We start from the raw sequence: 27311 nt of genomic DNA, 5'->3' as shown, positions 1-27311 counted from the left end.
TCTCCATCAATAACATAGTATGGAGGGTTTCTGTATGGAGTAAATAAGGTATTGCTGCCAGAGTCAATTGACTTTTCAATTTTTTTTTTTTTTTTTTGAGATGGAGTCTCACTCTGTCACCCAGGCTGGCGTACAGTGGTGTGATCTCAGCTCTGCAACCTTTGCCTCCCGGGTTCAAGCAATTCTCCTGCCTCAGCCTCCTGAGTAGCTGGGATTACAGGTGCCCGTCACCACATCTGGCTAATTTTTGTATTTTTAGTAGAGATGGAGTTTCACCATGTTGACCAGGCTCATCTCGAACTCCTGACCTCAAGTGATCCACCCACCTCAGCCTCCCAAAGTGCTGAGATTACAGGCATGAGCCACCACGCCCAGACCCCTTTCAGTCTTTATATTACCCAATCTCTCTGCATCATTTGACACTGTTGACCAATCTCGTCTTCTGGAAACACTCAGATACCTTAGCTCCGTTATACCCTGCCCCTTGGTTTGTCTCCCTTCTCTGTCTCTTCTGCAGCTCTTTGATGTCAGTGCTCCTTGGGGCTCCATCTTACACCCTCTCGACATTGCACTTCACAATAGTATTTATTTACTTACCAATTTACTGACTATTTAACAAGTACTGTATACAGTAAAAAAAATAGCATCCTAAGTGCTTTACAAAGGTTAAACCATTTAATCTTCAAGTAACCCCATTAGGTACGTACCATTATTGTTCCCCCTTTACCAGTGAGGAAACTGTGGCTCAGGAAGATGATGTGCCTTTGACAAGGTCATGGTTGGTAAGTGGTGGCAGCAGAATTGCAACTGTACGGCGCCCTGACTTATTTGCTAGCCTGGCTCCCTTGGATTTTTCTTTTAATTGGAAGGTCTACCAACACCAGGCCCTCATTCACATGTGAGCAATTCGCTCCAGCTACGTTGCAGTTGGCCCTCTTGCTCACCTTACCCAGCCTGCTTCTCTCACCAAACACCTGCCTGAGCTCTGTAGACATCAGCCACATCAACAAGTCCCAAAGTTTTATCTCTAGACTAGACTTTTCCCTGAGCTCCGTGTCCTTATATCTTTTTTTTTTCCCCCCTAAAACGGTGTCTTGCTCTGTTGCCCAGGCTGGAGTGCAGTGGCATGATCTCGGCTCACTGCAACCTCTGCCTCATGGGCTCAAGCAATTCTCCTGCCTCAGCGTCCCAAGTAGTTGGGATTACAGGTGCCCACCACCATGCCTGGCTAATTTTTGTATTTTTAGGAGAGATGGGGTTTCACCATGTTGGCCAGGCTGGTCTTGAACTCCTGACCATGTGATCCACCTGCCTCAGCCTCCCAAAGTGCTGGGATTACAGGCATAAGCCACTGTGCCCAGCCCAGTGTCCTTATATCTAACTGTCCACTGAACACTTGGATGTGTCACAGGCAGCTCCAACTCTACATACCTAAGATATTTCCCTCTCTCTTCCTGTGTCTCCCATCTCAGACAATGGTTCTGCCACCCACCCCATATTCAAATCTGAAACCTGGGATTCACAGGGGACTCCTCTCAGAGCCCTGATGATTTCTCTGCACCTCTATGCCTCCATCACTGGCCTAAAGCCACCAGAATTTCTTTCCCGATTACTGCACCATCCTCCTCCCTGGCCCCAAAGCCTCCAAACCTGCCCTACTCAAACCCCTTCTCCAAAACCAGACTGATTTCTCAAATTGAAAAAAAATAAAAATAAAAAATAAATACCTAAGACCTTTTAAGCCCAAATCCTTACCAGGGCCTTCAGTGGTGCTCCTGACCTCACCCCCAGTGACCTCTCTAGTCTCATCGGGTCACTCCCTGCTCTATATATCACATCCCAGTGATACTGGACAACTCCCAGCACCTCTAATGTGTCACGATCCACGCTTTCCTCTGCTGGAAACACTCCCACCCATGCCTCTTCACTTAGCTCATGCCTGTTCCTCAGGTATCTCACCTCCTCTGCAAATGTGTCCAGGTTAGGCGCTTGCCCTGTGTATTCCTACCTCCTACTGTCATGACCGCTTGGCACATTTTATTGTAATCGCCTGTTTAATTGTCCACCTCCCACCCCAGAATATAAGCCCCAGGATGGCCACAAGAGGTATCTATCTTACCAGCCCCCACACCCTTAGCACATGGTCAAGACACACAATACCTATCATTAAATGAGTGAATGATTATAATAAAGTGCCTGGCATAGAGGAGGTGCAATAAATGGCACAATTATTATTATCAAGCATAGAGATGGCTAATCAAGCAGGTAGTGAGCGAATTGTGTTTTGAATTGAGCTGCTGCCTCCAGCAGTATCATGCTTAGTAGGGACAGAACGGAGCCTACGCCTGTGCTCTGGGTTCCCTCTCAGCTGGGTCTCCCCAGCAGTCCCTACCCTGGGGCTCAGCATTCCCATATGGCAGGTGTAGGATCACTCCAAACCCCAGATACGAGGCCAGGCCATCTGGAGTCTCTTCCTTGCCATGCTGCTAACCCGCTGGGTTACTTCACCTCTCTGTGTCTCAGTTTCCTCATTTGTCAAATAAGAAATGTGGAGGACCAGTAAAAACCAAAGTGATTGGGAAAGTATAAAGTATTATACAAATATATACCCCTGATACCTCAGAGAAGGTTTTCTGACTTCTTCAGCTGAAAGCACTCAAGCCCCAAGAGGTTCAGAGCAGAGCCAAGTCCCCTGATGGCCAGTACAAAGAGGAGGAGAAAGAGAAGGACAGCAGAGGGTGCTCTCTGCTGGATTTCCCCAGCATGCCAGCTTCCCACTGTGCAGATAAAGCAAAATCTGATAGGAGCGGGGAGGAAGTGGGCTCAGGCTCCAGGAGTACAAGTTGGTATGCAAGCAAGTCATTCCAAACGCCGCCTCCACACAAACCCTCTGAGCTGCAAATTATTAACCTGCTTAACTCTATTGCAGAAACAAGCGCTGCTGGGGGTAAGGTGGGGAGGAGGGTGACAGAAGTCTCCTTCATGCCAAAGGTCCCTTTCCAGGAGCAAAGAGGCTTTCCTCTCAGCTTCTCAGCATTTCTTATTTACTTCTAATAGTAAATCTTCTAAACCAGTCTTGCAAATAAAGTCTAATCTCTCAACCGGAGGCATTAATGATTCATCACATGAGGGATTTCAGCCAGAAGACCAGTAAATAAGGATCCTGTCCACACACTCCACGGCTTGGGTATCTGGAAGAGCACAGCTGGGTTAGTCAAAAAAATAATTAATGTATTGGCTGGCACATTTTTGCAGAATTTATCACACTTGTCTAAACATCCCCAGACAATTCATCACTATTGCCACAAGGAGCCTGGAAAAATCTACTGCCTGATAAACCAACTGTAAACCAGCTGGTTTATACTCACATTTATCAATTTATAACTGAAAACCTCCTTGACAAATCTGTGCAGAAAAAGTGAAGCATGGAGAGGGAAACACATACATTGCCTCAAAGCAGGTGTAGGATTGTGGTTAAGAGCATGAACTCAAGTCCGAGTGTCTGGATTTCAGTCCTGCTCCATGACTCCCAAGGATGGTGACTTTACCTATCTAAGCCTCAATTTCCTTCTCTGTAAAATGATCACAAAACCTCGTAAATTAGGCTTATTCTGAGCATTAAATTATCCAGGAACAGCACTTAGCACATAGAATGTGTGGGGAGAGCATGAGGCGTGGGTGATAAGGAGTTTTGGTGATGAAGAAGAGGAGAGTCCACAGGCTACCAGAGAAGTTTAAAACTAACCCCTAGTTAGTCTGCTGACCATGTCTACAACTACCCACCCCACAACCCCACAACCCCACAACCCCATGGAGGCAAGGTGCCCTCACTCATGGTGCTTACTTCCAGAACCAATTCCAAAACAATTCATACAAATTCTGGAAACACCAAACATATACAGTAAAAAAAAAAAAAGTCTTAAAAATAAGTAGTCTATAGGAATACATTTAACGAAAGAAGTACAAGACATGTACTCTGAGAACTGCAAAACATTGTTGAAAGAAATGAAAGAACACGTAAATAAATGGAAAGACATCTCATGTTCATGAATTGGAAGACTTAACATAAGATGGCTATGTTCCCCAGAGTGAACCACAGATTCAATGCAATCCCTATCAAAACCACAGCAGGCTTCTTTGCAAACATTGTCAAGCTGACTCAGAAATTCACATGGAAATCCAAAGGACTTGGAATAGTGAAACAATACTGAAAAAGAACAAAGTTGTAGGATTCTCACTTCCCGATTTCAAAACTTACTACAAAGCGCTAGTAATTCAGACAGTGTGTGGTACTGACATAAGGACAGACATATAGATGAATGGAACAGAACTGAGAGTCCAGAAATAAACCCATGCATTTATGGTCAATTGATTTTCAACAAAAGTTGCCAGACAATTCAGTAGGGAAAGAATAGTATTTTTAAACATACGTGATTGGAATAACTGAATAGCCACATGCAAAAAAAAAAAAAAAAAGTCGGACAGCTTACCTTCACACCCTATATAAAAATTAACAAAAAATGGATCACAGACAATCTAAAATGTAAGACTAAAACTGTGAAACTGAGAAGAAAACATAGGAGTAAATCTTCATGACCTTGGATTAAGCAATGGTTCTTAGATACGACACTAAAGGCACAAGCAACAAAAGAAAAAAATAAATAAATTGGGCCAGGCGCAGTGGCTCATGCCTGTAATCCCTGCACTTTGGGAGGCCGAGGCGGGTGGATCACCTGAGGTCAGGAGTTCGAGACCAGCCTAGCCAACATGATAAAACGCGTCTCTACTAAAAATACAAAAAATTAGCTGGGCATGGTGGTGCGCACCTATAATCCCAGCTACTCAGGAGGCTGCAGCAGGAAAATCACTTGAACCCAGGAGGCGGAGGTTGCAGTGAGCTGAGATTGCGCCACTGCACCCCAGCCTGGGTAACAAGAGCATAACTCTGTCTCAAAAAACAAATAAATAAATAGGACATCATCAAAATTAAAAACGCTTGTGCTTCAAAAGGCACCATCAAGAAAGTAAAAAGACAACCAACAGAATAGGAAAAATTATTTGTAAATCATGTATCAAGAATATGAAAAGAGGCCAGGTGTGGTGGCTCATGCCTATAATCCCAGCACTTTGGGAGGCTGAGGCAGGAGGATTGCTTGAGACCACGAGTTCGAGACCAGCCTGGCCAACATGGTGAAACCCCGTCTCTACTAAAAATACAAAAATTTGCCAGGTATGGTGATGCGCACCTGTAATCTCAGCTACTTGGGTGGCTGAGGTAGGAGAGTCACTTGAACCCAGGAGGTGGAGGTTGCAGTGAGCCGAGATCACGCCACTGCACTCCAGCCTGGGTAACAGAGTGAGACCCTGTCTCAAAAAAAAAAAGAAAAAAAGAAAAAGAAAAAGAATATGTAAGAACTTTTACAACCCAATAATAAAAAGACAACCCTGTTTAACAATGGGCAAAGGGCCAGGTGCGGTGGCTCACACCTGTAATCCCAGCACTGTGGGAGGCCAAGGAGGGAGGATTGCTTGAGACCAGGAGCTCGAGACCAGCCTGGCCAACATGGAGAAACCCCATCTCTACAAAAAATACAAAAATTAGTTGGGCATGGTGGCACGTGCCTATAGTCCCAGGTACTCAGGAAGCTGAGGCGCAAGAATCACTTGAGCCTGGGAGACTGGGGTTGCAGTGAGCCGAGACTGCACCACTGCACTCCAGCCTGGGTGACAGAGTGAAACTCTATCTCAAAAAAAATAAATAAATAAAAATGAAATAAAAATGGGCAAAGGATTTAAATAGACATTTCTACAATGCAGATATACAAATGAACTATAAGCACATAAAAAGATGTTCAACGTCTTTAGCCATTTGGCAAATACAACCAGTGAGATGCCACTTCATACCCACTAGGGTGACTGTAATAAAAAATATATGCAATAACAAGTGTTGGTGAGAATGTGGAGAAATTAGAACGCTTACCCATTGTTAATGGAAATGTAAAATTATGCAGCTGCTTTGAAAAACAACTTGGCAGTTTCTCAAATAAACACAGATACAGACACCTACCAGGGATATACAGATACAGCATGATTCTGTTGTACAAAGTGTCCAGAATAGGCAAAACCTATCTAACTGAGGCTTAGGTGGGTAAAAAGATAGAAAGTAGATTTGTGGTTTCCCAGGGGGTGGGGGAAGAAAGGGAGGGGGCCATAAGGAGTGACTGTTGATGGATATGGGGTTTCTTTTTGAGAAGATAAAAGTGTTCTGAAATTAGGCCAGGTGCAGTGGCTCATACCTGTAATCCCAGCATTTTGGGAAGCTGAGACGGGTGGATCATTTGAGGCCAGGAGTTTGAGACCAGCCTGGCCAACATGGCAAAACCCTGTCTCTACAAAAATACAAAAATTAGCCGGGCATGGTGGTACATGCCTGTAGTCCCAGCTACTCGGAGGCTGAGGCAGGAGAATCGCTTGAACCTGGGAGGCACAAGTTGCAGTGAGCCAAGATCATGCCACTACACTCCAGCCTGGGCGACAGAGCAAGACTGTCTCAAAAAAAAAAAAAAAGTTCAGAAATTAGTAGTGATTGTGAAACTCTGTGAAGATACTAAAACCACTGAATTACACACTCAAAAGGGGTGAATTTTATGGTATGTGAATTATATGTCAATTAAACTGTTATTTCAAAATTAAACTAAACCAAGGGTTCTAGGTGCCCCTAGTGACTCCAGCATGACAGCTTGCATCCACTCTATCTGGCTGACGTGGTGAGCTGTGGAAAGGCACCCAATGCTCCCCGTTCTGTTAGGGTCTCCTTCCCACCTACTTGGCTCAGAGGACTCCCCTACTCCCCTAAGTTTCTGCCCACTGTAGCCATAGGAGCAGCAAGAACAAGAACAAGAACATAGCTGATATGTTTTGTGAATTGTATTGTGAGAAATGATCAGCCCCCACCTCTTACTTCAGCGCCCTAACCCATTTCACTCCAGCATACTGGTAGGGTTGCCAGATAAAATACAAGACACTCAATTACATTTCAATTTCAGGTAATCAATGAACAATTTTTTGGTAGCAGTATGTCTCAAATGTTGCATCATTCATTTAAAATTTAACTGGACATCCTGTATTTTTCTTTGCTAAGTTTGGCAACCCTACACTCTGGCCTCCATGCCATCCCTGAAACACATGAACCACACTCTCACCTCGGGACCTTTCCATTTGTTCTTCTTTCTGCCCGAAATTCTCTTCCCCCAGATAGTCACATGGTTCCTTTCTCACTTCAGGTTTTTGTCCAAACAGCATCTCATCATAAGAAGGTGTCTCCTACACACTTTATATAGAAGAGCCACTTCTACCTGACACTCCGATGCCCCTTCCCCTTGGCATTCACCACCACCTAACATATATATATTTAGTGGCTAATTGCCTGCTTTCCCCTCAGTATATTGGAGACTCCTTGAGGGTAAGGCTTCTTTTATTCACTGCTGCATTCCCAGTGCTTAGAACAGGGCCTGGCACGGAGTAGGCAATATGTTAATATTTACTCAATGAGTACAGAAGTGTCGTGCATGTGTTATCTCATCTAATCTTCCAAACAGCCCTATGAGACAAATATTGCCACCAACTGTGTTTCATAGATGAGACAGCTAAGACATGAAAGCCAAATAACCATCAAGAAGCCCATTTTAGATGCAGGAGCCAGACCCCAAATGACCCACCTCCCTGCAGCAGCTCACTGTCACAGACACCGCACAGCTCACCATCACAGGCACCGCACAGCTCACCGTCACAGGCACCGCACAGCTCACCGTCACAGGCACCGCACAGCTCACCGTCACAGACACCGCACAGCTCAGTCACAGGCACTGCACAGCTCAGTCACAGACACCGCACAGCTCAGTCACAGGCACCGCACAGCTCACCGTCACAGACACCGCACAGCTCACCGTCACAGACAGTGCACAGCTCAGTCACAGACACCGCACAGCTCACCGTCACAGACACCGCACAGCTCACCGTCACAGGCACCGCACAGCTCACCGTCACAGGCACCGCACAGCTCACCGTCACAGGCACCGCACAGCTCACCGTCACAGGCACCGTACAGCTCACTGTCACAGGTGGCGGGGCAACTTGGAGCTAGGGTGGCAGGTGTTTCTGACTCCTTCCATTTAGGGTACTCTGAGTTAGATGAAGGAAGGAGTCACAGACATGTCTGAGAGTCTACATTTGCACCAGAGAGCTTAATCCTGGGATTTAATTCAGGCTTGATTATTGCCTACACAATTATTGTGCAATATAAAGTGTTTCAAATAACTATAGAGTATTTCAAATAATTAAAGACTTGATTTTGCCTACACAATTACTGTGCAATATAAAGTGTTTTAAATAAATACCTAAACCTCCATTAATGGAGAAGTCTGTGTGGGTATCTATACTCACTTTTATTTCTTCTTGAACATCAGGATTGCGGAAATTTAAATCAGGTTGCTCTTTCATAAACTGATGAAAATAACATTGGTTTCGCACTTCGTCAAAGTGCCAACTGGAGTTTCCATACACACTTAACTGGCAAACAAAGAAAACAGCACATCAGTGACCTATAATGGTATTGCCCACAAATAAAGATCATTGCCCTCCCTGATCCTTTGCAGGCAGAGTATGTAAATCCTGAGAGTTTTCCTTCTACAGAGAGCAGCAGGTTAAAGAAACCCCTTCCAAATACCCCCCACCCCATTGGCCTAATGCCTCACAAACATGGTTGCAACGTATTTTTACAGTAGATGCTGTTTGTAACAACTGCAACAGCAAACCAATGTTCTCAAACCCAAGACAAGGTCAACTTAAGGAACTGACATTACTAATGTATTTTCTTGAATCTTCTGTCCAGGATCCAAACTCTTGTTTGTGAAGAGAAGCAAAATGGTAGTCAATTTGGAAGAAAGAAACATTCCGCTCATCTTGGAGCTTGAGCCCAGATAGACTGAATATTTAAATTATATCCCCAGAAAATTATTAGAATCCTTCACTTAAAATCTCTACCAGTCTCCAAGAATAAAAAGCAACTTCAAGTGTTGGTACTCAGCAATAGTTGACGATGTCGCTGGTCTCCTCTGTCTGGAAATGCTCACATTTATGGCCCCATGGTATGACTCTCCCGGCTGCCCTCCCACATCTCTGGCCACTCCTTAAGTCAACGCTGTGGGCCCTTGAATGTGAGAGTTTCATGGGGCTCTGTCCTAGGCCTTTTGTCCATTTCATGTTAAAGAGAACATCTGGAAAACATTTAACAACTGGGAGATTTTACATAAATCTTTTTGAGTTGGAAGACGTAGTTACACTGAGTCCACATGTCCATGGCAACACAGGCAGATGCTGAGTAGTAGCTGCTGCCTTTCAAGGACATGCACCCTTTCCAATTCAACACACAGCCCACCTGGACACAACCAGGGCAAGAGATTTTTAGTGTACATAAACAATAAAAAATCAGTATCCAGAATACAAAAGGAACTGAAGAAAGCAATTTCAAAGGGATAAATAATTCAAAAGAAAGTAGGGGAAAGAAACCATAAAGAGGTGTTTCACAGAAATGGACACTTAAATGAATAAATGTAAGAAAAGATGTTCAACATCATTAGGAATTAGATAATTACTGTATTAGGAATTAGACACATCATCATTAGTAATTAAATAAATATAAAATTAAGATCTCAAGGCAATATTGTTTTAAGTCTGGGCTGGGCATGGTAGCTCATGCCAGTAATCACAGCACTTTGAGAGCTGAAGCGGGAGGACTGCTTGAGGCCAGAAGTTCAAGACCAGCTTGGGCAACATAGTGAGAGCCCATATTTACAAAAAAATAAAAAAACTCAGCCACACATGATGGTGTGTGCCTGTGGTCCCAGCTACTAAGGAGGCTGAGGTGGCGAGGATTGCTTGAGCCTAGGAGCTCGAGACTGCAGTAAGCTATGATTGAGCCACTATGCTTCAGCCTGGGTGACAGAATGAGACCCTGACACAAAATAATAATAATTTTTAAATAAAAATTACAAAGTTGGGCAATATCAGGAATTAATGAGAATGTGTATTTTTTATACTTCTGTGGGGGATATAAATTGGTACAACCATTTTGATAATGAATTTGACACTATCCTGTAGAGCTGAGCATGCGATATCCTGCACAGCAATTTTACTCCTAGTTATTTACCTAAAAGAAGCCCTTGGTTGGGCGTGGTGGCTCACGCCTGTAATCCTAGCACTCTGGGAAGCCGACGTGGGCAGATCACAAGGTCAGGAGTTCAAGACCAGCCTGGCCAATATGGTGAAACCCTGTCTCTACTAAAGATACAAAAATTAGGTGGGCATGGTGATGGGTGCCTGTAGTTCCAGCTACTTGAGAGGCTGAGGCAGGAGAATCGCTTGAACTGAGGAGGCAGAGGTTGCAGTGAGCCAAGATCACGCCACTGCAGTCCAGCCTGGGCGACAGAGCAAGACCATCTCAAAAATAAAAAAAAGAAGCCCTTGCACATGTACCCCAAGATAGATTAATGACAGTGTTTATAGTAACATTGTTCATAATAAAAAAAACGGAAGTAGCCCAACTTCCCATCAACTGAAGAGTGGATAAGTAAACCATGGATTGTTCACACTGTGAAATATACAACAATGAAAATGTATGAACCATAGCTACCTGAAGTTACATGAATAAATCATGAAAAAGTTAGTTAAGAAGACTATACCTAGCATGACACTTTTCATAAAGTTCAAAATAGAGGAAACTAAAAAATAATTTTTTTAGAGTCGAAGTCTTGCAATATATGGTTATATATATGATATACTACAAGGTGTTTATCCATCATATACATATACATATTTTTGAACATATTAACTATTACATTAGAAAATGCAACCTTGACTATAGTGGAGAACTAAAAAAGCAATGGAAAAACTGGATCACAAGGCAGCTGTGATCATTCTATAAGCAAGAAATGATATAGTTTGAGTATGGCAGCAATTTTTAAAAGCAGACTATGGAGCTGAAATGACTAGATCCCATCTTTAGCCCTGTCATTTATTAGCTGAGTAACCTCAGTCTGCCTATCTGCAAAACAGGAATTACACCAGACTCATAGGATTATAGAGTGGATTAACTAAATTAATGAATATAAAACACTTAGCACAGAGCCTGGCACAGAGTAAGTATTTTGTAAATGTTTGCTAATGTCATTGCAATTTTAACAAGTCAGTGAACTGGAGGAAAAAAAGAGGTGAAACTGCCAGGACTTGCTGACAGCCTGTTCCTCAGGCTGCATGGTAGTACCATTCACTGAACCTGGGAGACGGAAGGTTATAGGGAGAAAATCACACATCACAAAGTTGACCTGCAAATATATCAATTCTGAGTGTCCTTGGATCACCTAAAAGTTGATGTTTAAATATTTATGGAGAAGGTCCAGAAGAGAGAAGGAGGGACTGGAGGAGGGAGGGATGATCCAGAATAAAGGCAGGAGAGAACACAAACCCGGGCAAGGGGAAGCTCTGGCCTGAGACAGAAGCAGAACTGCCAGATGAAGTGCAGGATGCCCAGTTACATCTGAATTCAGATCAACACGCATATTGTTGAGTATAAGTATTACTCATGTGGCCGGGCACAGTGGCTTACACCTGTAATCCCAGCACTTTGCAAGGCCGAAGCGGGAGGATCACTTGAGCCCAGGAGTTCAAGACCAGCCTGGACAACAGAGTGAGGCCCTGTCTTTACAAAAAAATAAAATATTAGCTGGGCATGGTGGCACACATTTGTGGTCCCAGCTACTTGGGAGGAATAGCTGGGAGGATTGCTTGAGCCCAGGAGGCAAAGACTGCGGTGAGCCATGATCAAGCCACTGCAGTAAGCCATGATCAAGCCACTGCACTCCAGCCTGGGAGAAAGAGCAAGACCCTGTCTCTGAAAAATAAAAATAAAAAAGAAAGTATGGTCCACACTAAAAAATTTTTTATGCACTGCTTGTCCAAAATTCAGATTTAACTGGGCATTCTGAATTTTTATTTGCTAAATCTGGTCACCCCAGAAAGGAGGGATCTGGCTTCTGTTGTAAAAGGAGTGAGTAGGAAGAGGGTGGGAATGGGGCAGGCAGGCTTGATGGCTTCTGTTTTCTCTGTGAAGTCGAGTTTGCTGCTGAGAGTGATAAGATGGGGTAGAGGCAGATACGATGTTTGAAATGAGGGAGGGAGGGAAAGTTGATCGGTTGAAATTAGCAAAATTCCCAAGAAGAGTGGATGGCTCAGTTCAGGTGGGGACAATGAAGGTGTGATGTCTCCAGAGACTCAACTACTAAGGTTTAGGCAAAAAGAAAATAGATAATTGGGTTCATTCATGGCTAGGGTTTTGTCAGACAGAGGAGACAAAAAGTCAGAAAGGCAAAGGGGGCCAGGAGCGGTGGCTTACACCTGTAATCCCAGCGCTTTGGGAGGCCGAGGCAGGTGGATCACCTGAGGTCAGGAGTTCAAGACCAGAGTGGCCAACATGGTGAAACCCTACCTCTACTAAAAATACAAAAATTAGCCGAGTATGATGACGCGCGCCTGTAATCATAGCTACTGGTAAGGCTGAGGCAAGAGAATTGCTTGAACCCAGGTGGAGTTTGCAGTGAGCTGAGATTGTGCTATTGCACTCCAGCCTGGGAGACAAGAGCAAAACTACATCTCAAGAAAAAAAAATGCAAAGGGGTATGGATAGTAGAAAAATGGTTATCAAACTAATGGGACATGGAATCCAAGTTGGACCGGGTAGGAAGTGAAGGAAGGGTGGAAGGAGAGAAAATAGGTTTGAATTTGCTAGAACACATCATCTCTATGATGAAATCAGAAATCTAAATAATAATTGGAAGCCTGAGTAAATAACAACTGGAAACCTTATTTCTATTTCTTTCAGAAACTTGCCCCCTTCCGATAAACTATATTCATTCATTTTTCCCTCAAAAGGGTTTTACTAAATCAGTTCAATCACTACATATCTGCCTTTTACCCCTTTGTAAGTCAGACAGGTTGATACTTACCCAGTTGTTGGGTGGAATGGTTTTGCCATTTTCATGGGTACAGTCATGCCAGATATAATAATCAGTATATTTTCCTGTCCGTGTCCGACTCAATTGAAACCAAATATGTTTATCACTCGTGTGGTTTGGTATGAAATCGATGATTAATTTTAAACCTAATGAGTAAAAGACATTTCAAATGCTAGGGAAAGATTGTATTAGAATAACATATGACAGGCCAGGCACAGTAATGGCTAACGCCTGTAACCCCAATACACTGGGAGGCTAAGGTAGGAGGATTGCTTGAGCCCAGGAGGTGGAGGCTGAAGTGAGCCATGATTGCACCACTGCACTCCAGCCTGGGAGACAGAGCAAGACCCTGCCTGGAAAAAAAAAAAAAAAAGCAGGGAAAGGAGAGGGGAGGGGAGGGGAGGGGAAGAAAGGAGATAGGGAAGGAAAAAGGAAAGGAGAAAGGAAAAAAGGAAACAGAAGGGAAGGGAAGGAAAGGAAGAAAGAGAAAGCGGGAAGGAAAGAAAGAAGGAAGGGAGGGAGGGAGGGAAAGAAATAGTATATGACAGTTAAGGAGAAGAAATGCTTTAAGTAAACATTTGAAAAAGTGCTTCTCTCAAACCTCATCCCCATCTTGCCCACTTTCCATTCAACTTACCTTTATCATGTATGGCTGCAACCAGATTCTCAAAATCTTCCATCGTTCCAAAAATGGGATCAACTTCCCGGAAATCTTCAACACCATATCTGAAATCTTTAAGGGACGATTTATAAAATGAAGTAATCCAAACAGTTTTTATATTTAAAGCTGTGATGTAGTCCAGTTTATCTTGAATACCTGAAGAAAAAAGTCAAAGTCATGAATAAACCCTACTTTGTTTTAGTTAAAGGACAAAAAATATAACAAATATGCCTAAGATAGAAATATTTACATGAAGGCAAAAATACTTAGAATTTTGTTGAATTTGAGTATAATTCAAATAGGAAGATCTAGCTCTACAAAAAATATCAAATTAGGTCGGGTGTAGTGGTTCACGCCTGTAATCCCAGCACTTTGGGAGGCCAAGGTGGGAGGATACCTAAGGTCAAGAGCTCGAGACCATCCTGGCCAACATGACAAAACCCCGTCTCTATTAAAAATACAAAAATTAGCTGGGTACAGTACCACATGCCTATGATCCCAGCTACCTGGGAGGCTGAGGCAGGAGAATCTCTTGAACCTGGGAATCGGAGGCTACAATGACTCAAGATCACACCACTGTACTCTAGCCTGGGCGACAGAGCAAGACCCTTTCTCAAAAAAAAAAGAAAGAGAAAATCAAATTAGTCATCTATCAGTAATCGATGACATTTAACATAGCATTAAAAAAAATCTCTGTGACTTACTCATATTTTATATTTAAAACCAAGACTGTGGTATTGTTCATTTATTCTACACATGGTTTTTGAGCAGCTAATCTATGCCAGCTGCTGGGCTAAGTGTCAAGGAACAGAGCAGAGTAACGCATGGCCCCTGTCGGTCATGTGGTCTACACTGCACTGTTCTGTCTAAGAGCCACATGTGGCTACTGAGCACTTGCAGGGTGGCTGGTTGGAATTGAGATGTGCTGTAAGGGAACAACATGTATTGGATTTTGAAGACCCTGTACAAAAAGAAAGAATGTAAAAATCTCATTAATATTTTTATACTGGGCCGGGCATGGTGGCACGTGCCTGTAATCCCAGCACTTTGGGAGGCCATGGTGGGCAGATTGTTTGGGCTCAGGTGTTCGAGACCAGTCTGGGTAACATGATAAAACCCCGTCTTAAAATACAAAAAAAAATAACAATATGTATATATTTTTATACTGATTATGTGTTGAAATGATACATTGGATTAAACAGAACATATGAAAATTAATTTCACCTGCTTCTTTTTTCCTTTTTTTAATGTGGCTACTACAAAATTTACAATTTCTTATGTGGCTCCCATTGTATTTCTTTTGGGCGGTGTTGGTCTCGGAAGTGTCTGCAGGCAGGGGTGGGATGATGATCAGACTGAAGAGCTAAGGAAGAGCTGCAGAAAGTGCTTTAAGGGCATCAGGGCATTGGCCCTTGACCCCCAGGGGCAGAGGAAGCTGATGACCCCTGAGGGTAAGGACAGAGAAGGTCCAGGATGGTGTGGGCAAAGGGGATCAGAGTGAAGGGCTTCCAGGCACAGCAAAGGAAAGGAGGGAGCAAGAATAGACAGGGCATGTCTAAAAAAGGGTGAGAAGGCAGGACACAGTGGCTTACGCCTGTAATCCCAACACTTAGGGAGGCTGAGACAGGTGGATCACTTGAGGTCAGGAGGTCAAGACCAGCCTGGCCAACATGGTGAAACCCCATTTCTACTAAAAAATACAAAAATTAGCTGGGGACGATGGTGCATTCCTGTAATCCCAGCTACTCGGGAGGCTGAGGCAGGAGAATTGCTTGAACCTGGGAGGCGGAGGTTGTAGTGAGGTGAGATTGTGCCACTGCACTCCAGCCTAGGTGACAGAGTGAGACTCCATCTCAAAAAAAAAAAAATAATAAATATAAATAAATAAGTAAATGCATCAATTAATTTAAAAAGGTGATAAATGTTGTCAGTGCACGGGGTCTGAGAAGGAGTGCAACCTCAACACAGAAGGTAAGTTTGTGCCAATATTTGAGGAGTCTTTGTTTCCACTCTCAGACTGCCTTTGAACTTGCTAAATTTGGACTATTTCCCTTGTTCACTTATATAGGAACCCAGGAATTTATACAGAAGAGAATTCTAGGCTTGGCTGAGAAGACATGTGGAAATGAAACTTTGTATTTAGAACTTTGTAGGATAATGAGCAGATAATGTGTTTTCTCCTTCTAGTTCAGAGTCCCAAATGCATATTCAGCAACTTGAGTCTAGAATTCAATCTCCAGTAACTTTCTGTGTAATCCTGATGTGACTTCCTAGAATTAGACTGTCAGAGGCCACACCGCAGGCTGAAGGTCACTAATTCCAAAGCACAGAGTCATTCGACACCTGGGATCTGGGCTTTTCCCCTATAACACACTGCTTATTTATTTTATTTTATTTTATTTATTTATTTATTTATTTATTTTTGAGATGGAGTCTCGCTCTGTCGCCCAGGCTGGAGTGCAGTGGTGCGATCTTAGCTCACTGCAACCTCCGCCTCCTGGGTTCACGCCATTCTCCTGCCTCAGCCACCCAAATAGCTGGGAATACAGGCACCCGCCACCACGCCCAGCTGATTTTTTTTGTATTTTTTTAGTAGAGACGGGGTTTCACCGTGTTAGCCAGGATGGTCTCAATCTCCTGACCTCGTGATCCACCTGCCTCGGCCTCCCAAAGTGCTGGGATTACAGGCGTGAGCCACCACGCCTGGCCTGACAGGCTGCTTATTTCTGTCTCTGTACCCCAGTTCCCCCATATGGGTAGCTGCAAGATCTCACACGGTATCAACAGGCAGCAAGAGGGTTTTGATCTAAGCCAGCACAGCAACAAAATATATCTTATGATGAGGCACAAAGGAACATGAGGATGAAAACAAAGTGGCTGGAGAAAGTAAACAAGGGATCCCACCCCACATTTTAGAAGGAGAGAGGGCAATCACCAAAACCAGACTCAAAGCTGGAATGGGATCTTCATAATAACAACAATGAAATCCCTTCAACCTCAAAGACAAATGCCTATGGATTGCAGGAAGTAAAACATTCCTCCAAGAACAGGTATTGGAAATGACAAACATCAGAGCTGATTAGAAACCACCATGTTTACAGGAATGTTGGACCTATCCAGAAGGAGATTATTAAGAAGGCAGGGCCAGGAAGTGGTAAACATATCTCTGGATTTAGGGCTTTAGGTCTATGCAGTCAGAGCATTGCTTTTCCTAAGCACTCAATGTGCAAAAGGCAGCAGGTCATAGGTCATGAGTCAGGGGAAAGGGAGTCACTCAAGGCAGGATTAAAGGATGCTAGAAACACATCCAAAGCCGAAGATCTGGGGTGGGGAGCCCATGGTCTGATTAGGGAGGCTAAAGAAAGAGTAATGAAGGCAATGGGTTTGAGCTGCACCATGAAGGACAGATACACTCTTCTTCAATGAGTGACAATGCAGGATGATTTTTAAAACGAGAATGATACAGCCGGATGCGGTGGCTCATGCCTGTAATCCCAGAGTTTTGGGAGGCCAAGGGGGGGCAAATCACCTGAGGTCAGGAGTTCGAGACTAGCCTGACCAACATGGAGAACCCTCGTCTCTATTAAAAATACAAAATTAGCCAGGCATGATGGTGCATGCCTGTAATCCCTGCTACTCGGAACGCTGAGCCGAGAGAATTGCTTGAACCCAGGTGACGGAGGTTGCAGTGAGCTGAGATTATGCCATTGCACTCCAGCCTGGGCAACAAGAGTGAAACTCCATCACAAAAAAAAAAAAAAAAAAAAAGAAGAGAGAGAATGATAGGAGCGTGAAAAAGAAAAGCCTTCTACTAGTGATTAAAGAAAGCTGCAGGTTTCAAGAATTCATTTGTAGCATTTTAAAGATACATTAAGCCCATTCCTACTTTCCACATTCATATCATCCTGTTTTGTTTTCTTCAAACCAATTATCATTGTAAAACATTAGTTTGTTAGTTTCCTTATTTGTTTCCTATTGTTGCCTTGAAGTAGAGTGACCATACCAACCAATTTGCTCAGAAGTTCCCAGTGTATGCCTGCCATCTGGCATAATTTTACTCTGAAGTATGTTCTGGTTTGAGCAATATATTGTAAGGATGTTTTACACATAACCCACCAAGAAATTAACTTAGCTTTTAAAAAATAATTTTTCACTTTTTTTTTTTTCTTTTTGGAGACGGGGTCTCCCTATGTTGCCTAAGCTGGCTGGCTGAGAGCTCCTGGGCTCAAGCGATCCTCCCACCTCAGCCTCCCAAGTAGCTGCAACTACAGTCATGCGCCACTACCCCTGGTTAATTCTTTACTTGTTTTATACTAATACGGACATGGTTTTAAACAATCCTTAATTCAAGTAATGACGAATGCATACTGCTACCCCTTTTCTACTTCCCTTCCTTTTTTAGAATTTAAACTTTAAGACTCAGCCTATACTTTTTACAGATATCACTTGATTTTTAAAAAAATATTATTTATGCTTTATTCACTAATACACTCCCAGCCACACAGCCAAACTAGCTGCTTCGTATACTGGGAAAGCAATTCCCAACTGCCACCCTGACATATTCAACTATAAAGTCCCCAGAAACAGGACATAGATTTTAGAAGGAAGGCTGCTCTAAGAAGTTAGAATTGATGACTGAACAACTGTATGTACTTAGTGGGCAATAAATTAAACAACTCGTTTGGCTCAAAGGCCTTCAGCAAATAGCCCTTCAGCTAGTAAAATAACTGCTGGGTTCTGCTGAGTGATTTTCTAAGAATATCATAAACAAGGAGCAACTTGGCATGACCAGTCATAATGGAATGTGCTTACTGAACAACCCAGGCATAATTTGGTTCTGAAGAACAAAAGAACCATAAACCAATCTCATCCTGGCACCCACCCTAAATGATCTCTGGGCATGTACCTTTCAGATCTCCGTTCCCATCCTTGTTACTGTCCTTGAAAGACCTTGGGTAGATCTGGTACATGGGCCCCTCCTGCCACCAGTCTAGGCACTTTGGAGAGAGGGCAATGATGGCTATGGTGGCCGCGATGAGCACCAGCACAGAAGCCACTGTGAGCCAGAAGAGGATCTCCCGAGGTATGCGGTAGCGGGCCTGGCCAGAGAACTGGAACAGCACCTCCTTGGGCATCCCCGCATAGGGCTGGACGCCCTTGAAGTCGGGCTCCTGGGAGCCAAGGATGCCCCTGGTGCTGTGCTTCAGGTTGTCTGTTGAGCTTCCTGGATCCGGGGTCTGCTCCAGAATGTCTTCATTATGGACAAACCCGTTGTTTGTCTGGCATCCCTTCATACTCATCTCGATGGAGTCTCTCTTGCTTTTATCTTCAGCCATGTCTCACCGACTTATGTCTTCGGAGTGCCTTCCTGCAGTAAGGGAGGTGGAAGAGTGGCTTGCTGAATGCTTGGTCTTGTTAATGAACTTTGTGTGGTTTATAAATAAACCTAGCTGGACAAAGTCCAGCCAAGGAAGAAAGGGTAAAAGTACAGAGGTTTAAAAAAAAAATCTCGGGACTGGCGCGGTGGTTCATGCCTGTAATCCCAGCACTTTGGGAGGCCGAGGCGGGCAGATCACCAAGGGCAGGAGTTTGAGACTAGCCTGGCCAACATGGCCAAACCCCGTCTCTACTAAAGGTATAAAAATTAGCCAGGCGTGGTGGTGTGCACCTGTAATCCCAGCTGCTCGGGAGGCTGAGGCAGGAGAATCGTTTGACCCCGGAAGACAGACGTTGCAGTGAGCCGAGATCGTACCACTGCACTCCAGCCTGGGCGACAAGAGCGAGAATCCATCCCACAAAAAAAAAAAAAATCTCCACTGGGCATCTTGGCTCACACCTGTAATCCCAGCAGTTTGGGAGGCTGAGGCAGGCAGGTCACCCGAGGTCAAGAGTTTAAGACCAGCCTGGCCAACATGGTGAAACCCCGTCTCTACTAAAAATACAAAAATTAGCCGGGCGTGGTGGTGCATGCCTGTAATCCCAGCTACTCAGGAGGCTGAGGCAGGAGAATCACTTGAACCCAGGAGGCAGAGGTTGCAGTGAGCTGACATCGAGCCATGGCACTCCACCCTGGGTGACAGAGGGAGACTCTGTCTCAAAAAATAAAATAAATAAATAAGAAAGAAAATAAAAATAAAATGAAACTAAAAATAAATTAAAAAATTAAAAATTGGAAACAACCCAGGTAGCTATCATCAGATGGATAGATAAACAATGTGGTTATACATATAGTGAAATATTATTCAGCTTTGAAAAGGAATGAAGGCTGGGCATGGTGGATCACGCCTGTAATCCCAACACTTTGGGAGGACAAGGCGGGTGGATCACTTGAGGTCAGGAATTGGAGACCAGCCTGGCCAACATGGCAAAACCCATCTCTATTAAAAATACAAAAATTAGGCCAGGCGCGGTGGCTCACGCCTGTAATCTCAATACTTTAGGAGGCCGAGGCCAGTGAATCACCTGAGGTTGGGAGTTCAAGACCAGCCTGACCAACATGGAGAAACCCCGTCTCTACTAAAAATACAAAATTAGCCAGGTGTGGTGGCGCATGCCTGTAGTCCCAGCTACTTGGGAGGCTGAGGCAGGAGAATCGGTTGAACCTGGAAGGCGGAGGTTGCGGTGAATGGAGATCACGCCATTGCGGTCCAGCCTGGGCAACAAGAGTGAAACTCCATCTCAAAAAAAAAAAAAAAAAAAATAGCTGGGCATGGGGACATATGCTGTAATTCCAGCTACTTGGGAGGCTGAGGCAGGAGAATCGCTTGAACCCAGGAGGCAGAAGTTGCAATGAGCTGAGATAGCACCACTGCACTCCAGCTTGGGTGATGGAGTGAGACTGTCTCCAATACATAAATAAAGGACTGAAATTCTGACACATGCTGCAACATAGATGAACCTGGAGGACATTATGCTAAGTGCAATAAGCCAGACCCAAAAGGGCAAGTGTGATTTCACTTAGATGAGGTATCTTGAGTAGTAGGATTCATAGGAACAGAAAATAGAAACGTGGTTACTGGAGGTTGGAGGAAGGGAATAATGGGGAGTTATTGTTCATTGGGCAGAGAATTTCAGTTTGGGATGATGAAAAGTATTCCTGAGATGATAGTGGTGATGGTTGCATAACAGTATAAACATACGTAATGCCACTGAAATGTTACAGATGTTTTACCACAACTTTTTTTAAAGCTTAAAGCTTTCTCTATTTAGCCAGGTATAAGAAAAATGACTTTGGGGGGAAATTATTTTTCTTATACATGGTTAAATAGAGAAAGTGGGAAGATAGCTTAAGCCCAGGAGTTGGAGACCAGCCTGGACAATATAGTAACACCTCATCTCTACAAAAGAAATTTAAAATTAGCTGAACATGGTGGTGCACCCATGTAGTCCCAATTACTCAGGAGGCAGGCTGATGTGGGAGGATCACTTGAGCCCAGGAGGCAGAGGTTGCAGTGAGCTGAGATGAGCCGAGGAGACAGAGGTTGCAGTGAGCTGAGATCACGCCACTGCACTCCAGCCTGGGTGACAGAGCAAGATTCTGTCTCAACAACAACAAAAAGGAATGTAATGATTTATGATGTCCCTTTCATCAGGAGCACATACAGTCCTATGAATCGTTTGATCTGATAATGAGACTTTTTTTTCTTTTAAATGATGATAGTTATCTGGGGCCCTAATCTTAGTGTCTCTTTGTGGAGTGGCTTAGAAGCATTGTATAGTATAGAGGTATGGAGGAATGAGCTACTTGATCTTGGACAAATTACATTTAAAACTGAGTAAATCCCAATACTTGGCTCATTGAATGCACCCAGTGATACCTCTCATTATTATTAATTATGCCCATTGAATATTTTTTATTTTTATTTTTTGAGATGGAGTTTCACTCTTATTGCCCAGGCTGGAGTGCAATGGCGTGATCTCAGCTCACCCACAACCTCCACCTCCCGGGTTCAACCGATTCTCCTGCCTCAGCCTGCTGTGCAGCTGGGATTACAGGTGCCCGCCAACACACCCAGCTAATTTTTTGTATTTTCAGTAGAGACAGGGTTTCACTAAGTTGGCCAGACTGCTCTCCGACTCCTGACCTCAGGTGATCCACCTGACTCGGCCTCCCAAAGTGCTGGGATTATAGGCGTGAGCCACCATGCCATGCCCCAAATCATTTTCTAACAAAGAGCAGCCAGTAAAGTCAAGCTGCAGACATAGACAAGCAAGCCGGGAGCTTGCACAGGTGGATGCGACAGGAAAGAACTACCTGGGACTAGACATGTTCAAAATGGCGGCTGCACCTCCCCTTCTCTGCCAGCCACGTGTACAGTAAGGAGCAGACAAGATGGCACCGGCCAAGTGGAGAGTTCATTTGCATAATAAGATTAGAGTGGGGCCACCAGCCTTCCCTGTGTGCTATGTAAACGTCACACCTGACCCAAAAAACCTGTGAGCCCTACCTAAATCAGACACGGCCTCCTCAAGCTGGACTATAAAATCTGGCGTATCCACCAGCTGACCTTTTCCTCTTGGAAGTCCCTTCTTTCTCACTAGAGAGAGAGCTATTTTCCTTTGTCTTTCTCCTTCTTCCGCCTATTAAACCTCTGCTCCTGGCCAGGCGCCGTGGCTCAGGCCTGTAATCCCAGCACTTTTGGAGGCCAAGGCGGGCAGATCACCTGAGGTCAGGAGTTGAGGACAAGCCTGACAAACATGAGGAAACCCTGTCTCTACTCAAAAATACAAAATTAGCTGGGCGGGGTGGCGTGCGCCTGTAATCCCAGCTACTCAGGAGGCTAAGGCAGGATTGCTTGAGCCCAGGAGGCCAAGACTGCAGTGAGCTGTGATCACCCCACTGCACTCCAGCCTAGGTGACAGAGTGAGGTTCAAAACAAAAAAAGAATATACACCACAGTTTATAAGTGGGCATGTGGGATTTTTTTCGTTTGTTTTTGGCTATTATAAATAAAATTGCTACGAGCAATCATGTACAACTCTTTCTAAGGATATAGCTTCCTTCTCTCTTAGGAACCAACTAGCAGTGAAATAGCTGGATAATATGGTAAGTGTATAATTAATGTTTAAGAAACTGCCAAACTGTTTTGGAAAGTAGTTGTATTGAGGCAGGAGAATATAGGGATTGGAGGCAGGGAACCTAAGGCTGTTTCACGCAGCATTCCTAGAACTAAACTGAAAGGAAAACCCTAACTTTACATGCCTAAATCACAAAAGGACCAGAGGCTACTCCCTTTGCAAACCCCCCACCTTTTCTGCCAGGCATGGGAAATTGGCAACCAATCAGACTGATTGCGGGTTGAGTCTTCCTTTGCAACTTTGTAACTTCACTCCAGCCTCCGAATGGTTGGTTGCTGTCCACAACCAATCAGACTGATTGCGGGCGGAGTCTTCGTTTGCATAGAAGTATAAATTTGTAACTTCACCCTAGCCTCTGATTGGTTGCTTTCTGCAACCAATCATACGTTTGCACAGGAGTGTCACTTTTGTAACCACGTCATCCTCTGGTTGGCTGCTTTCTGCAATCAATCAGACTGATTGTGGGCTACCACTTCATTTACCTGAGGTGGGCATGAAGTAGCCAATGGGAAACTTCTAGAGGGTATTTGGACCCAAGAAGATTCTGTATCCGGGGCCCTTGAGCCACTGCTCAGCACGCTCTCGCACTGTGGAGTGTACTTTCATTTTCAATAAATCCCTGCTTTCGTTCTTTTTTAACCAGTTGTCAAATGATCCTTTATTGAAATATTTTCCTTTGTGCTTAACTGGCTGGTCATTCCACAGCACCACTGTAGATGTCATCTATGATGTCCTGAGGGTGGCGGCCATCAACATTACAGCCCACAGACTGGGCAGTCCCCAGGATCTCTTTAATGGTTCCAGAGAGTTCTCTGGCTAAGGATCAGTGCTGCATCTGTCGAGCAATGTTGACGATCTCATAAAAAGTGATATTCCCCCTGTGTTTAATGTTTTTCTGTTTCTTTCTGTCTCTTGGTAGTTCCTTTTGATGATCAGGGCGGAGGCAGAAGGTACCACTTCAATCTGGGCCTGTCTGTTCTGAATGGTCAGTTTCACTGTAATCCTCAGGCCCTTCCAGTCACCCGTTACCTTGGCAATGTCATCACCAACCTCTTTTGGAGACAGACCCGCGGGGCCAATCTTGGGGGCCAGAGCAGAAGTGGCACCGACTTCAACTCCAGTGCACGTGAAGTATACGACTTTGATCTCATTGGGGTGGAACTTCGGCGGCATGGTGGAGGCGGCTGGTGTCGGATGAACCCGGATTCGAGACGACCGAAGAAAGTTGCACCTTGGCCTCCTCCGAGCCGAAAGCCGAGAGAGCTGCTTTCGTTCTTTTGTTGCTTCATTCTTTCTTTGCTGCGTGTTTTGTCCAATTCTTTGTTCAAAACGCCAAGAACCTGGACAATTTGCAGTCACGTCCCTCTACCGGTGACAGTACCATTTTGGGTTGCCTTCATTGGTGTATGAGAGTGTGAATTCTTCCACATTCTTGCCAGCACTTGCTCTGTTGTCTGTTTAATTTCAGTGATTCTAGTAGGTAAGTAGCAGTGTCTCATTGTGGTTTTAATTTGTACTTCTGTAAAGACTAATGGTGATGAGTATCTTTTCATGTGCTTATTTGCCATCCATACATCTTCCTTGGTGCAGCTGATGCTGGCAGCCAGCTGGGTGGGGAGTGGGGCTGGGGGCATCTCTGTTCTCAATACCTGTACTGCTTCAATGTAGTCTCCATGTTGGCTACTGTGGGCGTCTTCATAGCATGCTGGCTTGGTACCAAATGTTAGTGTCCCAGTTGAGAAAGCAGGCAAGGCAGAAACAATACCCTTTTTGTGACCTAGCCTCAGAAGTTACATAGCTTGTTTTTGACTGTACTTTATGTGCCAAGCCCAGAGGCAGTGTGTGAAGGGACTAAGAAGTTATAAGGCAAAGGACATAAATACAGGAGGCTACAAATTGGGCTATTAATGCAATTATCTATTGTGCAATTTTTATTGTAGTAGAAACATATAAAATTTATCATCTTAATCATTTTTAATTAAATGGTTCAGTGTGTTAAGTATATTCACATTGCTGTGAAACCAATCTCCAGAAGTTTTTCATCTTGCAAATCTGAAACTGTATATATCCTTTAAACAACTCCCCCTTGCCTCCCCTCAGCCCAGGGTAACCAACATTCTACTTTGTTTCTATGAATTGACGACTGTAGATATATAAGTGCAATCCTATAGCATTTGTCTTTTGTGATTGGCTTATTTCACTTAGCACAATGTCTTCAAGGTTCATACATGTTGTAGCATGTGACAGGATTTCTTTCCTTTTTATTTTTTTCTTAAAAACAAGATCTTGCTCTGTTGCCTAGGCTGGAGTGCAGTGGCACAATCATAGCTCACTGTAGTCTTGAACTCCTGGGCTCAAGCCATCCTCCTGCCTCAGCCTCCTAAGTAGCTGGGACTACAGGCATGCACCACCACATCCAGCTAATTTTTGTTTTTTGCAGAGATGGGGGGCTGTCACTATGTTGCCCAGGCTGGTCTCAAACTCCTGGCCTCAGGCAGTCCTCCTGCCTTGGCATCCCAAAGTGCTAGAATCATAGGCATGAGCCACTGTGTCTGGCCTTTCCTTTTTAAGGCTGGATAATATTCCATTGTATGTATATACTACATTTTGTTTATCCGTTTATCAGTCAAACACTTGGTTTGCTTCCATCTTTTGGCTATTGTGAATAACACTGCTATGAACATGAGTGTGCAAATATTTCTTTGAGATGCTGCTTTCAATTCTTTTGGATATATATTCAAAAGTGAGATTGCTGTGCCATATGGTAGTTCTATTTTTAATTTTTTGAGGACTGTTCATACTGTTTTCTATAGCAGTTACCCCATTTTACAATCCCACTAACAGTGCACGGGGGCTTCAATTTTGCAACATCCTCATCAACACTTGTTATTTTCCGTTTTTTGTTTTGTTTTGTTTTGTATTTTGATGGTAGCCATCCCAATGAGTGTGAGGTGATAGCTCAGTGTGGTTTTGATTTGCATTTCTCTAATGAAATTGGGGAAGTTGAGCATCTTTTCATGTGTCCTCATTGGCTATTAGGATATCATCTTTGGAGAAATGTCTGTTCGAGTCTTTTGCCCATCTTTTTATTAGGCTATTGGATATTTTGTTGATGACTTGTAAAAATGCTTTCATTTATGTTTCCAACAGGCACTGGTACAGTCTGAGCTGAAAGCTTCAGCCTGATGACAGGCAAGTGTTTCTGTGTATCTCAGACCCAAGTTTGTGACAATCACAGCCAGGGGATTTCAGTGACCATTTCAACTTCTTCCTGGTGGCCAACCCTCCAGGCTTGACAAATCAACACAAAACACACCCAAACAGAAAAGCATAATCTGATCCTTACATGACGTCATTGACCAACAATGTAAGTGAATTCACGGTGTAATGGGCTGATTTATAAAGGATCTTACCCATAGGGTGTCTCAGCTCTTTACTGCTTAAACATTTAGTTCTCAAAAAGAATCCAGAATCACAAAAGAAACAATGACACATTATATCTGGTCTTTAACAAAGTTCTATTGAAAAAATCACCTAACAGCTAAATACCGCATTTAATGCCCCGTGACAAATATTTCTAATTCAGACACATGAGCTGTTCTGGAAAACTTCTAATTAGGAGCATGGATAGACATTGTACTGCCACAAATAGTCTCACTGCAAATTCAAAGAGCATAAATTACACAGTCACATGTTACTTTCAAAATGCTGCCCGTCATCTGAGAACACTGTGTGTTAGAACTTCATTGGGACACAAACATTATTCTCTGCCATCTTACAGCTGGGGAAATGTGGTTCTTGGATGCAGAGTGAATTCCTCAATTCCCAGGCCAGCCCAGTATCCCTGGGAGAGGCCGTATGGCTCTCTGACCTTTAATGGTCACTCTCATGGCAAGGCCTGATAAAAAGCCAGGAAAGATTCATCATGACTTTGGGTGCTGGGTCAGGGACTCTGAGTACACATATCAGAGAAACGCATGCCAATATAGGTGGGAAAGACACAAAATGTATCATACCTTAAGGAATTTGCTTTATTCACATCTAGGCTTGTGTATAAAACCATTCTGAATGTGTCACTTTAACATAAAACCCACTGACCCTGCACAATCTGTCAGACTGTTAACCTCAAAACACTCATTTCACACCTCTAAAGCTATCAATGGCTTCTCATTATAAAGAGAACAAATGCCAATATCTTAGTATAGAAGTCTAAGCTACAGTTTATGCTCAAAATATATTTCCAATCTTTTTGCTATCTTAGTATTTCCAAATCAGGCTCTGTGCTCCAGCCGATCAGCACTGCCGAGGGTTCCCTCACTACAGACCGTGAGCACCTCATTCTGGACAGTTTCTCCCTCCTGTCTTTGAGGCCCAGCTCCAGCCTCCATCCCCCTACCACCACCCTCAGACCAGGAGACACTGATCCAGCCCAGTCTGCATCATATATTTGTACATTCATCCTTATAATGGTAGCTTTCTTTTTTCTTTCCTTTTTTTTTTTTTTT

The 27311-nt window shown here is 43.8% G+C and overlaps 1 protein-coding gene and 1 pseudogene across 2 annotated transcripts in view, besides 1 other annotated feature; both read right to left on the bottom strand.

Moving 5' to 3' along the window:
* The window catches only part of SLC3A1 (solute carrier family 3 member 1), a 46958-nt gene extending 27838 nt beyond the window's left edge, over positions 1-19120 (bottom strand). For both annotated transcript variants that reach the window (XM_011533047.4, NM_000341.4), the window contains exons 1-4: positions 18635-19120; positions 13705-13884; positions 13059-13213; positions 8443-8568 (exon numbers count right to left, since the gene is read on the bottom strand). In XM_011533047.4, coding sequence (XP_011531349.1) covers positions 8443-8568; positions 13059-13213; positions 13705-13884; positions 18635-19064 — 891 coding nt within the window. In that variant the 5' untranslated portion in view covers positions 19065-19120. The remainder of the gene's footprint in view (positions 1-8442; positions 8569-13058; positions 13214-13704; positions 13885-18634) is intronic.
* Positions 7361-7916: an enhancer, noted in NCBI's record as "H3K4me1 hESC enhancer chr2:44513823-44514378 (GRCh37/hg19 assembly coordinates)". NCBI's record gives its function as "activates a minimal SCP1, AML or CMV promoter by ChIP-STARR-seq in naive H9 embryonic stem cells {active_cell/tissue: H9 hESC(naive)}" and the evidence as "EXISTENCE:reporter gene assay evidence [ECO:0000049][PMID:30033119]".
* On the bottom strand, positions 23445-24067 carry RPL12P19 (ribosomal protein L12 pseudogene 19; annotated as a pseudogene).

Source organism: Homo sapiens, chromosome 2, assembly GCF_000001405.40.
Source record: "Homo sapiens chromosome 2, GRCh38.p14 Primary Assembly".
In the NCBI taxonomy this organism is placed as follows: domain Eukaryota; kingdom Metazoa; phylum Chordata; class Mammalia; order Primates; family Hominidae; genus Homo; species Homo sapiens.
The sequence above is the reverse complement of the archived record's forward strand: the minus strand, read 5'-3'. Positions and strand labels throughout refer to the sequence as shown.